Source organism: Homo sapiens, chromosome 17, assembly GCF_000001405.40.
Source record: "Homo sapiens chromosome 17, GRCh38.p14 Primary Assembly".
NCBI lineage: Eukaryota > Metazoa > Chordata > Mammalia > Primates > Hominidae > Homo > Homo sapiens.
In genome coordinates this window covers 41,044,841-41,061,122 of record NC_000017.11, presented here as the reverse complement: position 1 = coordinate 41,061,122, position 16,282 = coordinate 41,044,841, and the positions used below count along the sequence as shown (strand labels likewise).

The window sequence follows — 16,282 nt, the reverse complement described above, 5'->3', positions numbered from 1 at the left end:
AATTCCCCTTGTCTTTTTCATAATGCCACCTTCCCACCTCATAAACAAACAAAACCCTCAGCCAACAAACTAAAGAAGCTGTGACAGAAAGATAATTGATTCCTTTGTAGATATTGTCCATAGATTTTTAAGTATGTAATACAAAGTGCATATGTCAAAGCAAGAAAGCAAGAAATAGCCCAATTTCAATTTTATTTCTAGGTCAATAATCAGGGAAGGGCATTCAGAAAGGCACAGAATGAATGAAATCCCCATTTAGTTTGACCTTATTGTTCCCAGAAAAGTTCTTTCCCTTTAATTGCTTGATTTATCTTTGTCTTGCCTTACTAAAAGTTATGATTACTATGTGATAGGAAACTATTTGAAAGCTATTTTTCTTTCCTTTCCCCCTCCACCCCCAAATAGTACAGTACCATCTACATAATAAGTGTCTCATAAGTGTTAATGAGTTATAAACCAACTCAGATTACTAAAATAAAATCAGTCTAGCAGCTTTGGTGATGATTTTCTTATAAACAAGGTTAGGCACTGTGTCATTAAACACTGGGCCATTCTTTCCATAGCAGAATCAATACACATCTGCTCTTATGAGCCATTTTGGTTTTTAAGAAATTCTTGCTTGATCTCAATGCCAATCAGAAACCCAGCCTGTGACTCATGAACATTCCAGTCCCATGCTTAAGTCACGGATGGCAGCGAACAAGAGGAAAGTGTGATGGTGGCTGGATTCTTCAAACTTGCACCTTCTCACATGGCATGGCCTGGAAGGACTAGCTGATAGATGAGCAATTGTTCTGATGATATACATGACCAGGTATTCCGTTCTAGGGAAAAAGTAGACAGGTAGAAAACAAAGCATTCTTTAGTGATTTAGGGATCGCTGCCTCAGCAGTTAAATCCAGAGTTCTCATTTCAACGGGCAGCTACAACTCCAGGAAATGACCTCATGTCCTGGGGGTCATCAGCATCCAGCTAGGATATATAAAGGGCCCAGAGTGGAACGAGGACATTCACACCTGAGAACATCCAGCTCCTCTCAACAGCCCAACCCACACCAGCCTCAGACACCACCATGACCGGCTCCTGCTGCGGCTCCACCTTGTCCTCCCTGAGCTACGGGGGAGGCTGCTGCCAGCCCTGCTGCTGCCGCGACCCCTGCTGCTGCCGCCCCGTGACCTGCCAGACCACCGTGTGCCGCCCCGTGACCTGCGTGCCCCGCTGCACGCGCCCCATCTGCGAGCCCTGCCGCCGCCCGGTGTGCTGCGACCCCTGCTCCCTGCAGGAAGGCTGCTGCCGCCCCATCACCTGCTGCCCCTCGTCGTGCACGGCTGTGGTGTGCAGGCCCTGCTGCTGGGCCACCACCTGCTGCCAGCCTGTGTCTGTGCAGTCCCCCTGCTGCCGGCCTCCCTGCGGCCAGCCGACCCCTTGCAGCACCACCTGCAGGACCTCCTCCTGCTGAGACCCCACCTCTCCTCTCAACGCACGAAACATTCCCAGGTGCACAGAAGCTTGTGCAGACTCTTCTACCCCTTCTGGATCAGATGAGAGACTCCACCTTTGCAGCCTAGCTGATCCTCAAGCACGAATTCAACAATAACATCCTATCTATTTCCCCACATAATTATGCAGCTAATCCTGGCCCTCTCTGACAATCTTGAGAAAAATTCCAGCTTTCATCATTCGAATTCCTGGCTTGAAAAAAAAAACGAGTAAATAAAAATCAAAGCTCCTCTTGAATAGAACTCTGTCCCACTGACTCATCACCCTTTTTTCTACTGTTTCAAGGTTCTCAGATGAGATTTTTTTCTTCCAGGATAATACTATTTGTATGCTGTATTTTTGCACTGTAAAAAAAAATAAAATTATATTTCTGGGGAAGCAAACATTTCTTTTTATTTATTGTTTATTGCTCTTCAAAAGCTCATATTTAGCTTACATTACAGCATGCAGAACCAGAAGAACGAAAGGAGAGATTTTCTAAGGGCCATTTTTGAGCTTTAGAATAGGAACAACTCAGGTGGAAGGTCTATAATTTTAATAGCATTTCAAATAAATCTGATCATCTCATGATTCACCTTCATATTTCGAGTCGCAGGTTTTATGGTGATGCTGACGAAATGGTGAGACTACAGTAGGTCTCTGTAAACATAAACTTGACTTATGAATAATTCACACACATGATAAGGGGGAGGAAGTCTAAGCTAAGTTATAGCCCTATTTGTTCACCAATGTAGGAAACTGTACGGTAATTGATGTCAAACAAGACCTGGGAATCCCTAGCCACTGAACATCCTATGCTGGAGGAACCACTATCCCATCTTCTCCATGGTTCCCGTCAGCACCACCATGGCCAGTTCTACTTCCAGTGGAGTGGCTGCTGCTGAGAAGACAGGGAGAAATGAAGCCTTGGTTGTAATCATCCTAGTTTTGAGCTCCGCATACATCTTAACCATTTAAACAACTGCAATGCGGTTGAAATGCTGATAACATTAATCCATACTGCATATATTTTTGATTTTGTTAAATACTTGTATGTTGGTAAGGAAGGCTAACCACTATCATTTTCCTGATAAATATCTTTTTAGTTCCTAGCATGTGATAGAAAAGAGATTTCTTTGATTGTTCAGCATGTATTCCTGGGCATATCTACCTGCCCATTGAGAGAAGTGAGGCAAGGGAAGCTTTGTGAGGGCAGGGGTCTTTAGTCTTTTTAATTTAAATTTATTTCAAGTTCAGGGGTACATGTGCACGTTTGTTATATAGGTAAATTGTGTGTCACAGGGTTTTGGTATACAGATTATTTCATCACCCAGGTAATAAGCATAGTAACAGATGGCCAGGTGCAGTGGCTCAAGCCTGAAATCCCAGCACTTTGGGAGGCTGAGATGGGTAGGTCACTTGAGGCCAGGAATTCAAGACCATCCTGGCCAACATGGTGAAACCCTGTCTCTACTAAAAATACAAAAAGTAGCTGGGCATGGTGGCATGCGCCTGTAATCCAAGCTACTCAGGAGGCTGAATCAGGAGAATCGCTTGAACCTGGGAGGCAGAGGCTTTGGTGAGACAAGGTTGCGCCACTGCACTCCTGCCTGGGTGACAGAGTGAGACTCTGTCTCAAAACTTAATTAATTAATTAATTTAATTAAACAAAAGCATAGTAACAGATAGATGGTTTTTTTATCCTCACCCTCTTCCCACCATCTGCCCTCAAGTAAGCTTCAGTATCTGTTGTTCCCTTATTTGTGTCCATATGTACTCAATGTTTAGCTACCACTTATAAGTGAGAACATGCCGTATTTGGTTTTCTGTATCTGTGTTAGTTTGCTTAGGATAATGGCCTCCAGCTTCATCCACATTGCTACAAAGGACATAATTTCCTTTTTTATGGCTGTATAGTATTCCATGGTGTATGTGTACCACATTTTCTTTATCCAGTCCACCCTTGATGGGTATTTAGGTTGATTCCATATCTTTGCTACTTTGAACAGTGCTGCAATAAACATATGCATGTATATGTCTTTATGGTAGAATGATTTCAATCCCTCTGGGTCCATACCCACTAATGGGATTGCTGGGTTGAATGGTAATTCTGTTTTAAATACTTTCAGAAATTGCCAAACTGCTTTCCACAATGGCTGAGCTAATTTACATTGAGGGCCAGGATCTCGACTAACTTTGTTCACTACTAGATTCCCACTGATCTGCACGATATTTGGCACATTGAGTATAATCAGAAATGATGTGTTGAATGATAAATGAGTAAGTTCTAAGGGGATTGGTTAAAACAGAGAAAGACATTATCATTCCATCCCAACTCTCAACTCATGCTGGATATGCATATTCTTAAAATAAAACAATAAACCAATCATGAAGAAAGATCTTTTTTCTGGAAATATGGTAAAAGTTTCTCAACAAGAAGACTGTTATATTCAAAAACTTTACATTTGCAGTACGTGCACAATGGAGTTTTATCTTTTTTAACGGTTTGGTAATTAACCAATGGATAGGCTCACAAGTCTAATTTCTTTCTATATATTCTTGATCACTGTTTTCAAAATTCGTTAAGTACATCTGTTTTTCTCCTCTCAGAGTTTTTCTTGTTAGCCTTCTAGAGACCTCCTTATTTAAAAGTGTTTTCTCAAATGGACAATGCCTTGTTTCCCCTCAAACCTATCATTATTATTGGATCTCATTTATTCCCACAGTCACCCCATTCTCTGGTTGGCTGAAGTGGCTGGTGCAGATCTGGGTAAGCCTATAAGAAACCATGCAAGTGGTGTGATCAATAAGAATGCTTACACTTGAACCTTCAACTTCAGATCTATTAGGCTGGTGCAAAAATAATTGTAGCTTCTGCCATTGAAAGTGCCAAAAACCACAATTACTTTTTGCACCAACCTAATAGAACAGTCTTAGTTGTAAAGGAAAAGGTCAGAACCAAGTAAATTAAGAGGCAAAGACTCAAAAGTGATTGAGTGACATAATTTGCCTACAAGTCATGACAGTTTGAAACAATTAAAAATGACAATTGGTTCCATAAGCAGAAATGAGCCCCAGCATAGCACACAGGGAGATGTTGAAGACACTGAGGTATGGGCCAGATGAGGCCCGAGAACACGTTCAAGTGGGATCACTACTGAAGGGTTTTGTTATACCGCAAGACTGCAACCTTCCTCTACATAGACTTGTTTGACTTCCTCACCATATTGGTGGCTTTGTTCACAATACCCCATAATCATTCAGTTATGCCCAACTATGACACTATCTCCTTAGGGTATGTTTCGACATTTTCAGAAGGCTGAATAGAAGGTAATTCTTCCCACTCCTGAGGCTGTTGGTAAGACATAGAGTCCTTTCAACCGACTCTAAAAATTAGACATATCATAAATAACAACTGTTTTCAAAGTAAATACACTGTAAAAGCTCCTAAATAAAATAGACATTCCTTAATACCTGGGAATGTGGTACCTACAATCCATTCTTTAGCTACAGTGAGTTCTTCAGCTTTTTGGGCTGATAAATAATGTTCCCACAGATATTTCTGGAATGAGTATTGGCTCCAACACTTACTAGGTACATGACCTTGGGTAAGTCACTTATCTGGTTCCTTATGTGTGAAATGAGAAATAAACAATATCCACATCCTAAGAATGTTATGAAGATTAGATTAATGCATGTATTTTTTAATATGATGCTTGGAACATAGTTACAACTTAATGATACTGGCTATCATGAAGATTACAGTGAAATTTACCTTGGTCTGGAAAGATACAACCATAGAAATCAATGAACATATCTCTAAGACAAAAACCACTGGATGATGGAAACCTACTAAAATGCATTCTTGTACCTCCAAAAAGGGGACAGGAAAATTCTTCTTTTACTGAGAAATCCTGACTTTTAAACTATCCCTGTAGTATTATCCTCAACTTGTTTTGCCCAGGAAGCTTAGCAGTGGCAAAGAATACTAACAACTTGAGATGCTCGCTTTACTTCAACTGCTAGCAAGTAATAACCCTCAGAGCATGCAGAGCACAACAGCTGCTTTGAGCTATCAAAACAGCAACTAGCAAAAGCGTCATTGAATTATAACGATAATTGGAGACTTTGAAGTTAGGGTCATTAAATTCATATTTGAACCATAAATAGCAAAATATAATGGGTCTACACTAAATAAGGAAAATAGACTTTTATGTGTACCTGAGCATCTAAACAATGTCTACAAAACTTACTAATCTGCTGGTGTTATTTCAGGAAGAATAAGTGAAAACAAGGAAATGACCTTGTGTCCTGGGGGTCATCAGCTCCCAGCCAGCGTATATAAAGGGCCCAGAGGGGGAGGAGGACATTCACACCTGAGAACATCCAGCTCCTCTCCACAGCCCAACCCACACCAGCCTCAGACACCACCATGACCGGCTCCTGCTGCGGCTCCACCTTCTCCTCCCTGAGCTACGGGGGAGGCTGCTGCCAGCCCTGCTGCTGCCGCGACCCCTGCTGCTGCCGCCCCGTGACCTGCCAGACCACCGTGTGCCGCCCCGTGACCTGCGTGCCCCGCTGCACGCGCCCCATCTGCGAGCCCTGCCGCCGCCCGGTGTGCTGCGACCCCTGCTCCCTGCAGGAAGGCTGCTGCCGCCCCATCACCTGCTGCCCCTCGTCGTGCACGGCTGTGGTGTGCAGGCCCTGCTGCTGGGCCACCACCTGCTGCCAGCCTGTGTCTGTGCAGTCCCCCTGCGGCCAGCCGACCCCTTGCAGCACCACCTGCAGGACCTCCTCCTGCTGAGCCACCACCTGCTGCCAGCCTGTGTCTGTGCAGTCCCCCTGCGGCCAGCCGACCCCTTGCAGCACCACCTGCAGGACCTCCTCCTGCTGAGCAGCCCGTTATCACGAAGGGCCCCTCAGAAGATGGCCAGGTCCATCCCGCTGCCCCTCAGGGCTTCACCGCAGAGCAATACACGTTTCCTTGAGAAGCCCATTTCTCATCTCTTCATACTAGCTCACACTATGCATTGAAGACACCTTTTCAGACCAACCACAGATGAGAAATACTTTTCCTAGGACTCCAGTCTAACTCCTATATCATGTTGTCTGCTTTCTAATAAACTCAATACTCCTACCATAGAAATCATGGTCTTTGTGATATTTTCTTCTGGGAGATTGTCTCTTTTTTTCTAGAGATACTCAAAGCAAGATGCAGAATAATCCTCTTATACAGTTCTCATAACTTAAGTCTGAGTAGTTTTCTTATAATCATTGTAAATGGCATTTATGGAGCACAGCTGAGTCAGGAAGATGGATACAACTATGACTTTATCATGTGTACAGAGTCACTTGTGCCCAAAATTCCAGGCATGCATTGAACACCTGAGAAATGTTCTGCAACAAGAAACACGCTAGGAGGCCGCACCTGGGTTGAAACTTACATTCCCAGCCTAATGGTGTGTTTACTGATCCGACACCTGTTGGAACATCATAGAACGCCCAGGGTGTTAGAGGTGGAAGAAGCCTTAGGCAACCTCTGGCCAATTACCTCTGTTTTTGAAGTTAAAGAAACATGAATAATGTAAGAGTAAATAAGTTACTTACTAATGTAATTATAATCCCAAAAGTTCAGAAAAGACCCTGGAGAATACAAGTTTCCTGCATTTAGACCTCAGGTCAAACACTTCTTAGTATGGTGAGAGACATGTTAATCACAAAATGGTTGTACATTCTACAACTTTATTTTACATTTCAATAGCCACACACACACATATACACACTTCCTAGGAATACATCTAGCCAAGGAAGTGAAAAATCTCTACAGAGAAAACTACAGAACACGACTTAAAGAAATGATAGGTGACACAAACGAATGGAAAAACATCCCATGCCAATGGATTGGAAGAATCAGTATCATTAAAATGACCACACTGCCCAAAGCAATCTACAGATTCAATGCTATTTCTATCAAGCTACCAATGTCATTTTTCACAGAACTAGAAAAAAACTATTCTGAAATTCATAAGGAACCAAAAAGAGCCCAAATAGCCAAAGCAATCGTAAATAAAAAGAAAACTGAAGGCATCACATTACCTGACTTCAAACTATGCTATAAGACTACAGTAAACAAAACAGCATGGTACTGGTACAAAAACAGAAAGTTGTAAAATATAAAGTGGCATAGACAAAAGGAACAGAATAGAGAACCCAGAAATAAAGCCATGCTCATACAACAATCTAATCTTTGATATCATTAACAAAAATAAGCAATGAGGATAGGACTCCCTATTCAATAAGTGGTGCTGGGATAGCTGGCTAGCTTTATGCAGATGATTGAAACTAGACCCTGACTTTCACCATATAGAAAAATTAACTCAAGATGGATTAAAGATTTAAATGTAAGACCTCAAACTTTAAAAACCCTAGGAGAAAATCTAGAAAACATAATTCTTAACATCAACCTTGGGAAAGAATTTATGACTAAGTCCTCAAAAGCAATTGCAACAAACACAAAAATTGGCAAGTGGGACCTAATTAAACTAAAGAGCTTCTGCACAGTAAATGAAACTATGAACACAGTAAATAGACAACCTACAGAATGAGAGAAAATATTCACAAACTGTGCATCCAACAAAGGCCTAACATCCAGAATCTATAAGGAACTTAAACAATTGAACAAGCAAAAACAAATAATCCCATTAAAAAGTGGGCAAAGGACTTGAACAATCACTTCTCAAAACAAGACATACAAGCAGCCAAACACACATGTGAAAAAATGCTCCACATCATTATTCATCAAAGAAATGCAAAATCAAAACCACAATGAGATACCATCTTACACCAGTCAAAATGGCTATTATTAAAAAGCTCAGTAACTGAAGCCCCATACTTTCAGAATAAAGAAAAAAATAGTTAAAAAACAACAGATGCTGACAAGGCTGTTGAGAGGAGAGAATGCTTATATGCTGTTGATGGGAATGTAAATTAGTTCAGCTACTATGGAAAGCAGTGTGGAGATTTCTCAGGAACTTAAAGTAGAACTATCATTTGACCCAGCAATCCCTTTACTTGGTCTGTAGCCAAAAGAAAACAAATCATTCTACCAAAAAGACACATGCACTTGCATGTTTGTCACAGTACAATTCACAATAGCAAAGACATGGAATCGACCTAGGTTCCCATCAGTGGTGGACTGGATAGAGAAAATATGGTACACATACACCATGGAATACTACTCACCCATAAAAAACAATGAACTCATGTCCTTCACAGTAACATGGATGCAGCTGGGGGCCATTATCCTAAACAAATTAACCCAGGAACAGAAAACCAAATGCCATATTTTCTCACTGACAAATGGGAGTTAAACATCGGGTACTCATTGACATAATGATGGCAACAATAGACACTGGGGACTACTAGAGCAGGCAGAGCGGGAGGGAGACAAGGGCTGAAAAACTGTTGGGTGCTACACTCAGTCCTGGGTGACAGGATCGATCATACCCCAAACCTCAGCATCACACAGTATACCCACATAACAAACTGGCACATCACACAATATACCACCTGAATCTAAAGGAAAAGTTGAAATAATGAAAAAAAAATTTGTTCATAATGTTATTGTTAAATGATAATGTGAAATAAAGCTCTGGAGTTTGTTACACAAAATCTGTTGTCCATCACCATGAGAAATCTGTCTAAATCAATTTGAAGGCTTTTTTTTTTAAGGATGCTTCTCTAAGACCCCATTCTGTATTGCATGGGCTGTGGGGTTCTCAGTAGGGGTCTTGTTGCTATACACAGTCCTGACAGATATGCCTTCTGTCAGTTCAACAATAGCCTGACTCCCTTCACAGAGGTAAGTGCTCAATGAGAAGGTGCTCTGTTTCTTCCTTCCAGGTGCTTTTATTTTATTTCATGCTATTAATGGAACTTACTACTGAATAATGTTATTTCATGTGTATTGTTTGGTGACTGAGCAGAGAACTAACCATTTGCCATAACAAATATGTTGGTCTTTTTTCTAAACTTAAAGTTTAGAATTTAGAAAGTACCAATGTAACATGACCTTTTGCTATATATACATATGGTATACATATAGTAAATATATATAGTATATGTAAAATACATATAGTAAAATATATATACATATTTGTATATATACATATATACTATATATAGTAAAATATATCTAGTATATCTGTATATATAAATATATAATATATTATATTATATATTTTACTATATATAATATATTATATATATTTTACTATATATAATATATTATATATTTACTATATATAATATATTATATATATTTTACTATACATAATATATTATATATTTACTATATATAATATATTATATATATTTTACTATATATAATATATTATATATTTTACTATATATAATATATTATATATTTTACTATATATATAATATATTATATATATTTTAATATATATATAATATATTATATATATTTTACTATATATAATATATTATATATTTTACTATATATAATATATTATATATATTTTACTATATATAATATATTATATATATTTTACTATATATAATATATTATATATATTTTACTATATATAATATATTATATATATTTTACTATATATATAATATATTATATATATTTTACTATATATAATATGTTATATATATTTTACTATATATATAATATATTATATATATTTTACTATATATAATATATTATATATATTTTACTATATATATTATATTATATATATTTTACTATATATATAATATATTATATATATTTTACTATATATGTAATATATTATATATATTTTACTATATATGTAATATATATGTACCATATTATCGGGGAACCTGCCCCGATAATCACGTATGTTCTTTTCTATTTTCCTAAGCATCGGCTGGCTTGAGAAATAAAGGGACAGAGAACAAAAGAGAGAAACTTTAAAGCTGGGTGTCCGGGGGAGACATCACATTTTGGTAGGATCCGTGATGCCCCACAAGCCACAAAAACCAGCAAGTTTTTATTAGGGAGTTTCAAAAGGGGAGAGAGTATACGAATAGGTGTGAGTGACAGACATCAAGTACTTAACAGGGTAATGCAATATCACAAGGCAAGTGGAGGCAGGGCGAGATCAGAGGACCACAGGACCGAGGTGAAATTAAAATTGCTAATGAAGTTTTGGGCACCACTGTCATTGATAACATCTTATCAGGAGACAGGGTTTTGAGATCAACCGGTCTGACCAAAAGTTATTAGGTGGGAATTTCCTCTTCCTAATAAGCCTGGGAGCGCTATGGGAGACTGGAGTTTATTTCACCTCTGCAATCTCGACCATAAGAGACAGGTACACCCCGGGGGGGCCAGTTCAGAGACCTACCCCTAGGTGCGCATTCTCTTTCTCAGGGACGTTCCACGCTGAGAAAAAGAATTCAGCGATGTTTCTCCCATTTGCTTTTGAAAGAAGAGAAATATGGCTCTGTTCTGCCCGGCTCACCAGCGGTCAGAGTTTAAGATTATCTCTCTTATTCCCTGAACAATTGCTGTTATTCTGTTCTTTTTTCAGGGTGCCCACATTTCATATTGCTCAAACAGACATGCTGTACAATTTTTGTAGTTAATGCAATTATTACAGGGTCCTGGAATGATATACATCCTCCTCAACTGACAGGATTAAGAGATTAAAGTAAAGACAGGCATAGGAAATCACAAGGGTATTGATTGGGGAAGTGATAAGTGTCCATGAAATCTTTACAATTTATGTTTAGAGATTTCAGTAAAGACAGGCATAAGAAATTACAAAAGTATTAATTTGAGGAACTAATAAATGTCCATAAAATCTTCACAATCCACGTTCTTCTGTCATGGCTTCAGTCAGTCCCTCCGTTTGGGGTTCCTGACTTCCCGCAACACCATATACATATATAGTATACATACATATATACTGTATACATATATACTATACATATTTTACTATATATGTAATACATATGTATATATACATATATACTATATATATTTTACTATATATATAGTAAAAGGTCATGTTACTATATATGTGTATATATGTGTGTATATATATATTTACTATATATATATATATTTAACAAATACAAGACACTAAGTGCCAGACATTGTTTGTTCTTAGCACTTGACAAATATTAGCTCATGTAATCCTTACAATTCTGATATGAACTATTATTATGGCCCAAGGACACACAGCCAGTAAGTGGCAGAGCTTTAAATGAGCATTGTCCAGTTTCAGAATAAGTGGGGTCAGAAAATAGGATGTGACTTGCCACCAAGTGTCAAACCGCAGAGCTGTCTGTGCTCTTACAACTCTGAGGCATGAATAACTGAAGCATGACCCATATTTTCTCTGCCTGAAAACGAAGTTTGGCTATGGGGTGTGGATAAGTGTCTTAGAGTGAATAAACACTAGAAAGGTTACTGAGTGATGCACAGATTATCTTTTTGGACCTTTATAAAGGGGAGACAGATCCTTATAAAGGGGAGAGACAGATCTTTATAAAGGGGAGAGACAGATCTCTTTAGAATGACCTTGGGTTTGAAGTTTCTGCAGTAGAGAAATGAGTCTTGTTAATGTGATGATTTAAGTCTTCCAAAGAGGCTCCCATTGCATAAAATGTGATTATCATGAAGACTCCACAGCAGCATGAAAATAAATTATGAGATAATATGTCTCGAAAAGAGCAGAATATACAACTTTTTACCTAGTTACCTCTGGTTACCACTTTGAAAAACAAAAATCCCACGTCCGTAAACAAAGAAAAGAATGTAAAACAGGAGAGTCAAAGGTCTCTAGCGATGAGATTGTGCCTGATATCTCCCTCTTCTGTTTCCCTAATTGTGACTACCGGGTCCAGTCAATTTACATTCCTCTTAAAGTTTTGAAATTATGCTTGAAATTCCATTTGGGGAGCTTTAGATGTCCGGCCCCAAGGCACATTCTTTCAAATAAAGAAAATGATCCCGAAGTGATTCAAAACCCTGTCTGGTGACTAACAGGAGGAGTAAAGCTGGAAAGTAATGGGACTGTTTCCCCCATGTAGTTCCTGAACTGCCCCTGGCAACACTTCCTGAAGAAGCGCATCCATCACGCTTTTAGCAGTGCCACAGCAGAACACTGGGCAGCCTCCCAATGCGTCTACCCCTGAACAGTGTTCTGGATATGTGTGCAATGTTGGTTGAAAACCCCTTTCTTGTCACTTGCTAATCAGAGCACCTATGTCAAAGTATATATGCATATTTCTTTTTTGAGATGGAGTCTCACTCTGTAGCCCAAGCTGGAGTGCAATGGCATGATCTCGGCTCACTGCAACCTCCGCCTTTGGGGCTCAAGTGATTCTCGTTCCCCAGCCTCCGGCACAGCTGGGACTACAGGCACTGCCACCACACCCAGCTAATTTTTTGTATTTTATTAGAGTTGAGGTTTCACCATGTTGCCCAGGGTGGTCTTGAACTCCTGAGCTCAGGTGATCCACCTGCCTTGGCCTCCCCAGGTGTTGGGATTACAGGCATGAGCCACTGCGCCCGGCCAACAAGGTATATTCAGAAAAATTTCCCATTACAGAATTCTTCATTACATGCACAAGAAAGGCAACGCTAAAAAATGACATGTTTCAGAGATAAAAATCAGCATCTTATGACAGAAAGACCAGAGTTGCACAGAACCTGAACTAGAGAAAAGAAAACATGCAAGGCAGTCTTGGAGGTTTTATTCCAACACTTAGTGGTTTGCAAAAATTTTTGTCTGTCCTGTACAACTCTATGAGCTGCTATCCTATTCAAGGCCTATGTATCCCACTATATCAAGTGATAATCAAACGTATTCCCAAGCAGACTACGTGGGAGGGCTTGTCTAACACTCGTGTGATTCACGTTTCACATGTAGGTGCTTCCAAGGACTTGAGTCCCCTATTGGGGTCAGGATAGGCTCTACTCAATGTTCTATGTACTTCTCTATGTTTTTAATTTCTTTTAAAAACTGAAGTTTTTTTAGACCGTTTTGTCCAGATTTGATCCAGTGTTATCTACTCAAAATAAGCATCAAGAGCTACTATCACCTCAAATGACGATGAGTTCTTAGATTTTCACCCAATGTGAGTACATCCATACTTAGAGATAAAACAAGAGCTCTTTAGTGAGATAATGAGTGTGTCACAAGCAACCATTAGTCAAAACAAAATTCTACTTAATTGGCCAAAAGGTAAACGAAAAGGGTCACCTGCACCCGGCCAGGGTATATAAAGGGCCCAGAGGGGGAGGAGGACATTCACACCTGAGAACATCCAGCTCCTCTCCACAGCCCAACCCACACCAGCCTCAGACACCACCATGACCGGCTCCTGCTGCGGCTCCACCTTCTCCTCCCTGAGCTACGGGGGAGGCTGCTGCCAGCCCTGCTGCTGCCGCGACCCCTGCTGCTGCCGCCCCGTGACCTGCCAGACCACCGTGTGCCGCCCCGTGACCTGCGTGCCCCGCTGCACGCGCCCCATCTGCGAGCCCTGCCGCCGCCCGGTGTGCTGCGACCCCTGCTCCCTGCAGGAAGGCTGCTGCCGCCCCATCACCTGCTGCCCCTCGTCGTGCACGGCTGTGGTGTGCAGGCCCTGCTGCTGGGCCACCACCTGCTGCCAGCCTGTGTCTGTGCAGTCCCCCTGCTGCCGGCCCCCCTGCGGCCAGCCGACCCCTTGCAGCACCACCTGCAGGACCTCCTCCTGCTGAGCCACCACCTGCTGCCAGCCTGTGTCTGTGCAGTCCCCCTGCGGCCAGCCGACCCCTTGCAGCACCACCTGCAGGACCTCCTCCTGCTGAGCAGTGCACTGACTGCCCGGAACGCGTAACTCACCTTCTGAAAAAGTCACACTCCCATTTCTCTACTTTAACAAACCTCCTGCCCTGAGCCCACAAAACCCCACATCAACCAAGCAGGGAACCGAGCACTGGGCTCATCTATTAAGACCTGGGCCATTCTGAAGTCTGTAAAAGAAGCAATTTCCTTCTTCTTAAGATTTCGTGGCATGTTTATTTTCTAATAAATATCTGTTCTTTGGCCTTGCAAAAAGATTTGGTTTTATTTACTCATTCTAATATTTTGTATTAAATTAATTTTTTAATTAAAAAAACTGACACATAATTGTACATATTTATGGGGTGCAATGTAATGTTTCCATACATGTATACGTTGTGTAATAATCAAGTCAGGGTGTTTAGCATATTCGTCACCTCATACATTTATCATTTCTTCATGGTAAGATCATTTAAAATATTCTCTGATCGCTATTTTGAAATATATGATAAAATATTACTAACCACAGTCACCCTACTGTACATTAGAATACCAAAACTTATCCCTCCTATCTACCTGTAACTTTGTACCTGTAGACCAATCTCTGCCTATCCTCCCCTCCTCTCACCCTCCCCAGCCTCTGGTAGTCACTATTCTACTCTCTACTTCTATGAGATCAACTTCTTTAGATTTCACATAGGAGTGAGTGAATGTGCTATTTGTCTTTCTGTGCCTGGTTAATTTCACTTAACATAATGTCCCCCAGGTTCATCCATGTTGCTGCACATGACAGTATTTCATTCTTTTTCATGGCTGATAGTATTTCATTGTGTGTTTGGGTGTGAGTGTGTGTCACATTTTCTTTATCCATTCATCCATTGATGAACACTTAGATTGTTTTCATATGTTGGCTGTTGTGAATCGTGCTGCAATAAACATGGAAGTGCAGAAATCTCCTCAACATACTGATTTCATTTCCTTTGCGTATATACTCAGTAGTGGGATTCCTGGATCACATGATCGTCCTATTTTTAATTTTTGGGGAACCCTCCATACTGTTTTCCATAATGGCTATACTACTTTACATTCCCTCTAACCTTGTATGAGTTCCCTTTTTTCCACATCCACACCAGCATTTGTTATCTTTTTGTATTTTTGATAATAGCCATTCTAATTGTGGTGATATGGTATCTCATTGCGGTTTTGATTTGCATTTCCTGATGATTAGTGATGCTGAGCACTTCTTCATATATGTGTTGGAAATTTGTATGTTTTCTTTTGTGAAATATCTATTCAGGTCTTTTACCTATTTTTAATTGGATTTTTTATTATTATTCACTGTTGAGTTGTTCAAGTTCCTTATATATTCTAGATATTAACCCCTGGTCAGATGCATAGTTTGAAAATATTTTCTCCCAAATTTTTGCAATCTACTCATCTGACAAAGGGCTAATATCCAGAATCTACAAAGAACTCAAACAAATTTACAAGAAAAAAACAAACAACCCCATCAATAAGTGGGTGAAGGATATGAACAGACACTTCTCAAAAGAAGACATTTATGCAGCCAACAGACACATGAAAAAATGCTCATCATCACTGGCCATCAGAGAAATGCAAATCAAAACCACAATGAGATACCATCTCACACCAGTTAGAATGGTGATCATTAAAAAGTCAGGAAACAACAGGTGCTGGAGAGGATGTGGAGAAATAGGAACACTTTTACACTGTTGGTGGGACTGTAAACTAGTTCAACCATTGTGGAAGACAGTGTGGCGATTCCTCAGGGATCTAGAACTAGAAATACCATTTGACCCAGCCATCCCATTACTGGGTATATACCCAAAGGATTATAAATCATGCTGCTATAAAGATACATGCACATGTATGTTTATTGCAGCACTATTCACAATAGCAAAGACTTGGAACCAACCCAAATGTCCATCAATGATAGATTGGATTAAGAAAATGTG

At 40.0% G+C, this 16,282-nt stretch overlaps 3 protein-coding genes across 3 annotated transcripts, besides 2 other annotated features; all 3 read left to right on the top strand.

The window, feature by feature from the left end:
- Window positions 690-1,264: an enhancer, noted in NCBI's record as "H3K27ac-H3K4me1 hESC enhancer chr17:39216111-39216685 (GRCh37/hg19 assembly coordinates)". NCBI's record gives its function as "activates a minimal SCP1, AML or CMV promoter by ChIP-STARR-seq in primed H9 embryonic stem cells {active_cell/tissue: H9 hESC(primed)}" and the evidence as "EXISTENCE:reporter gene assay evidence [ECO:0000049][PMID:30033119]".
- On the top strand, window positions 1,009-1,883 carry KRTAP2-3 (keratin associated protein 2-3). The gene has a single exon (NM_001165252.2). It carries the CDS (start codon window positions 1,073-1,075, stop codon window positions 1,457-1,459), a length of 387 nt encoding a protein of 128 aa, NP_001158724.1. The 5' UTR covers window positions 1,009-1,072; the 3' UTR covers window positions 1,460-1,883.
- Window positions 1,265-1,839: an enhancer, noted in NCBI's record as "H3K27ac-H3K4me1 hESC enhancer chr17:39215536-39216110 (GRCh37/hg19 assembly coordinates)". NCBI's record gives its function as "activates a minimal SCP1, AML or CMV promoter by ChIP-STARR-seq in primed H9 embryonic stem cells {active_cell/tissue: H9 hESC(primed)}" and the evidence as "EXISTENCE:reporter gene assay evidence [ECO:0000049][PMID:30033119]".
- KRTAP2-2 (keratin associated protein 2-2) lies at window positions 5,893-6,625 on the top strand. Its single transcript, NM_033032.3, has one exon. The coding sequence runs from the start codon at window positions 5,912-5,914 to the stop codon at window positions 6,281-6,283; it is 372 nt and encodes a 123-aa protein (NP_149021.2). The 5' UTR covers window positions 5,893-5,911; the 3' UTR covers window positions 6,284-6,625.
- A 7,181-nt stretch (window positions 6,626-13,806) lies between these two features.
- KRTAP2-1 (keratin associated protein 2-1) lies at window positions 13,807-14,582 on the top strand. Its single transcript, NM_001123387.1, has one exon. The coding sequence runs from the start codon at window positions 13,856-13,858 to the stop codon at window positions 14,240-14,242; it is 387 nt and encodes a 128-aa protein (NP_001116859.1). The 5' UTR covers window positions 13,807-13,855; the 3' UTR covers window positions 14,243-14,582.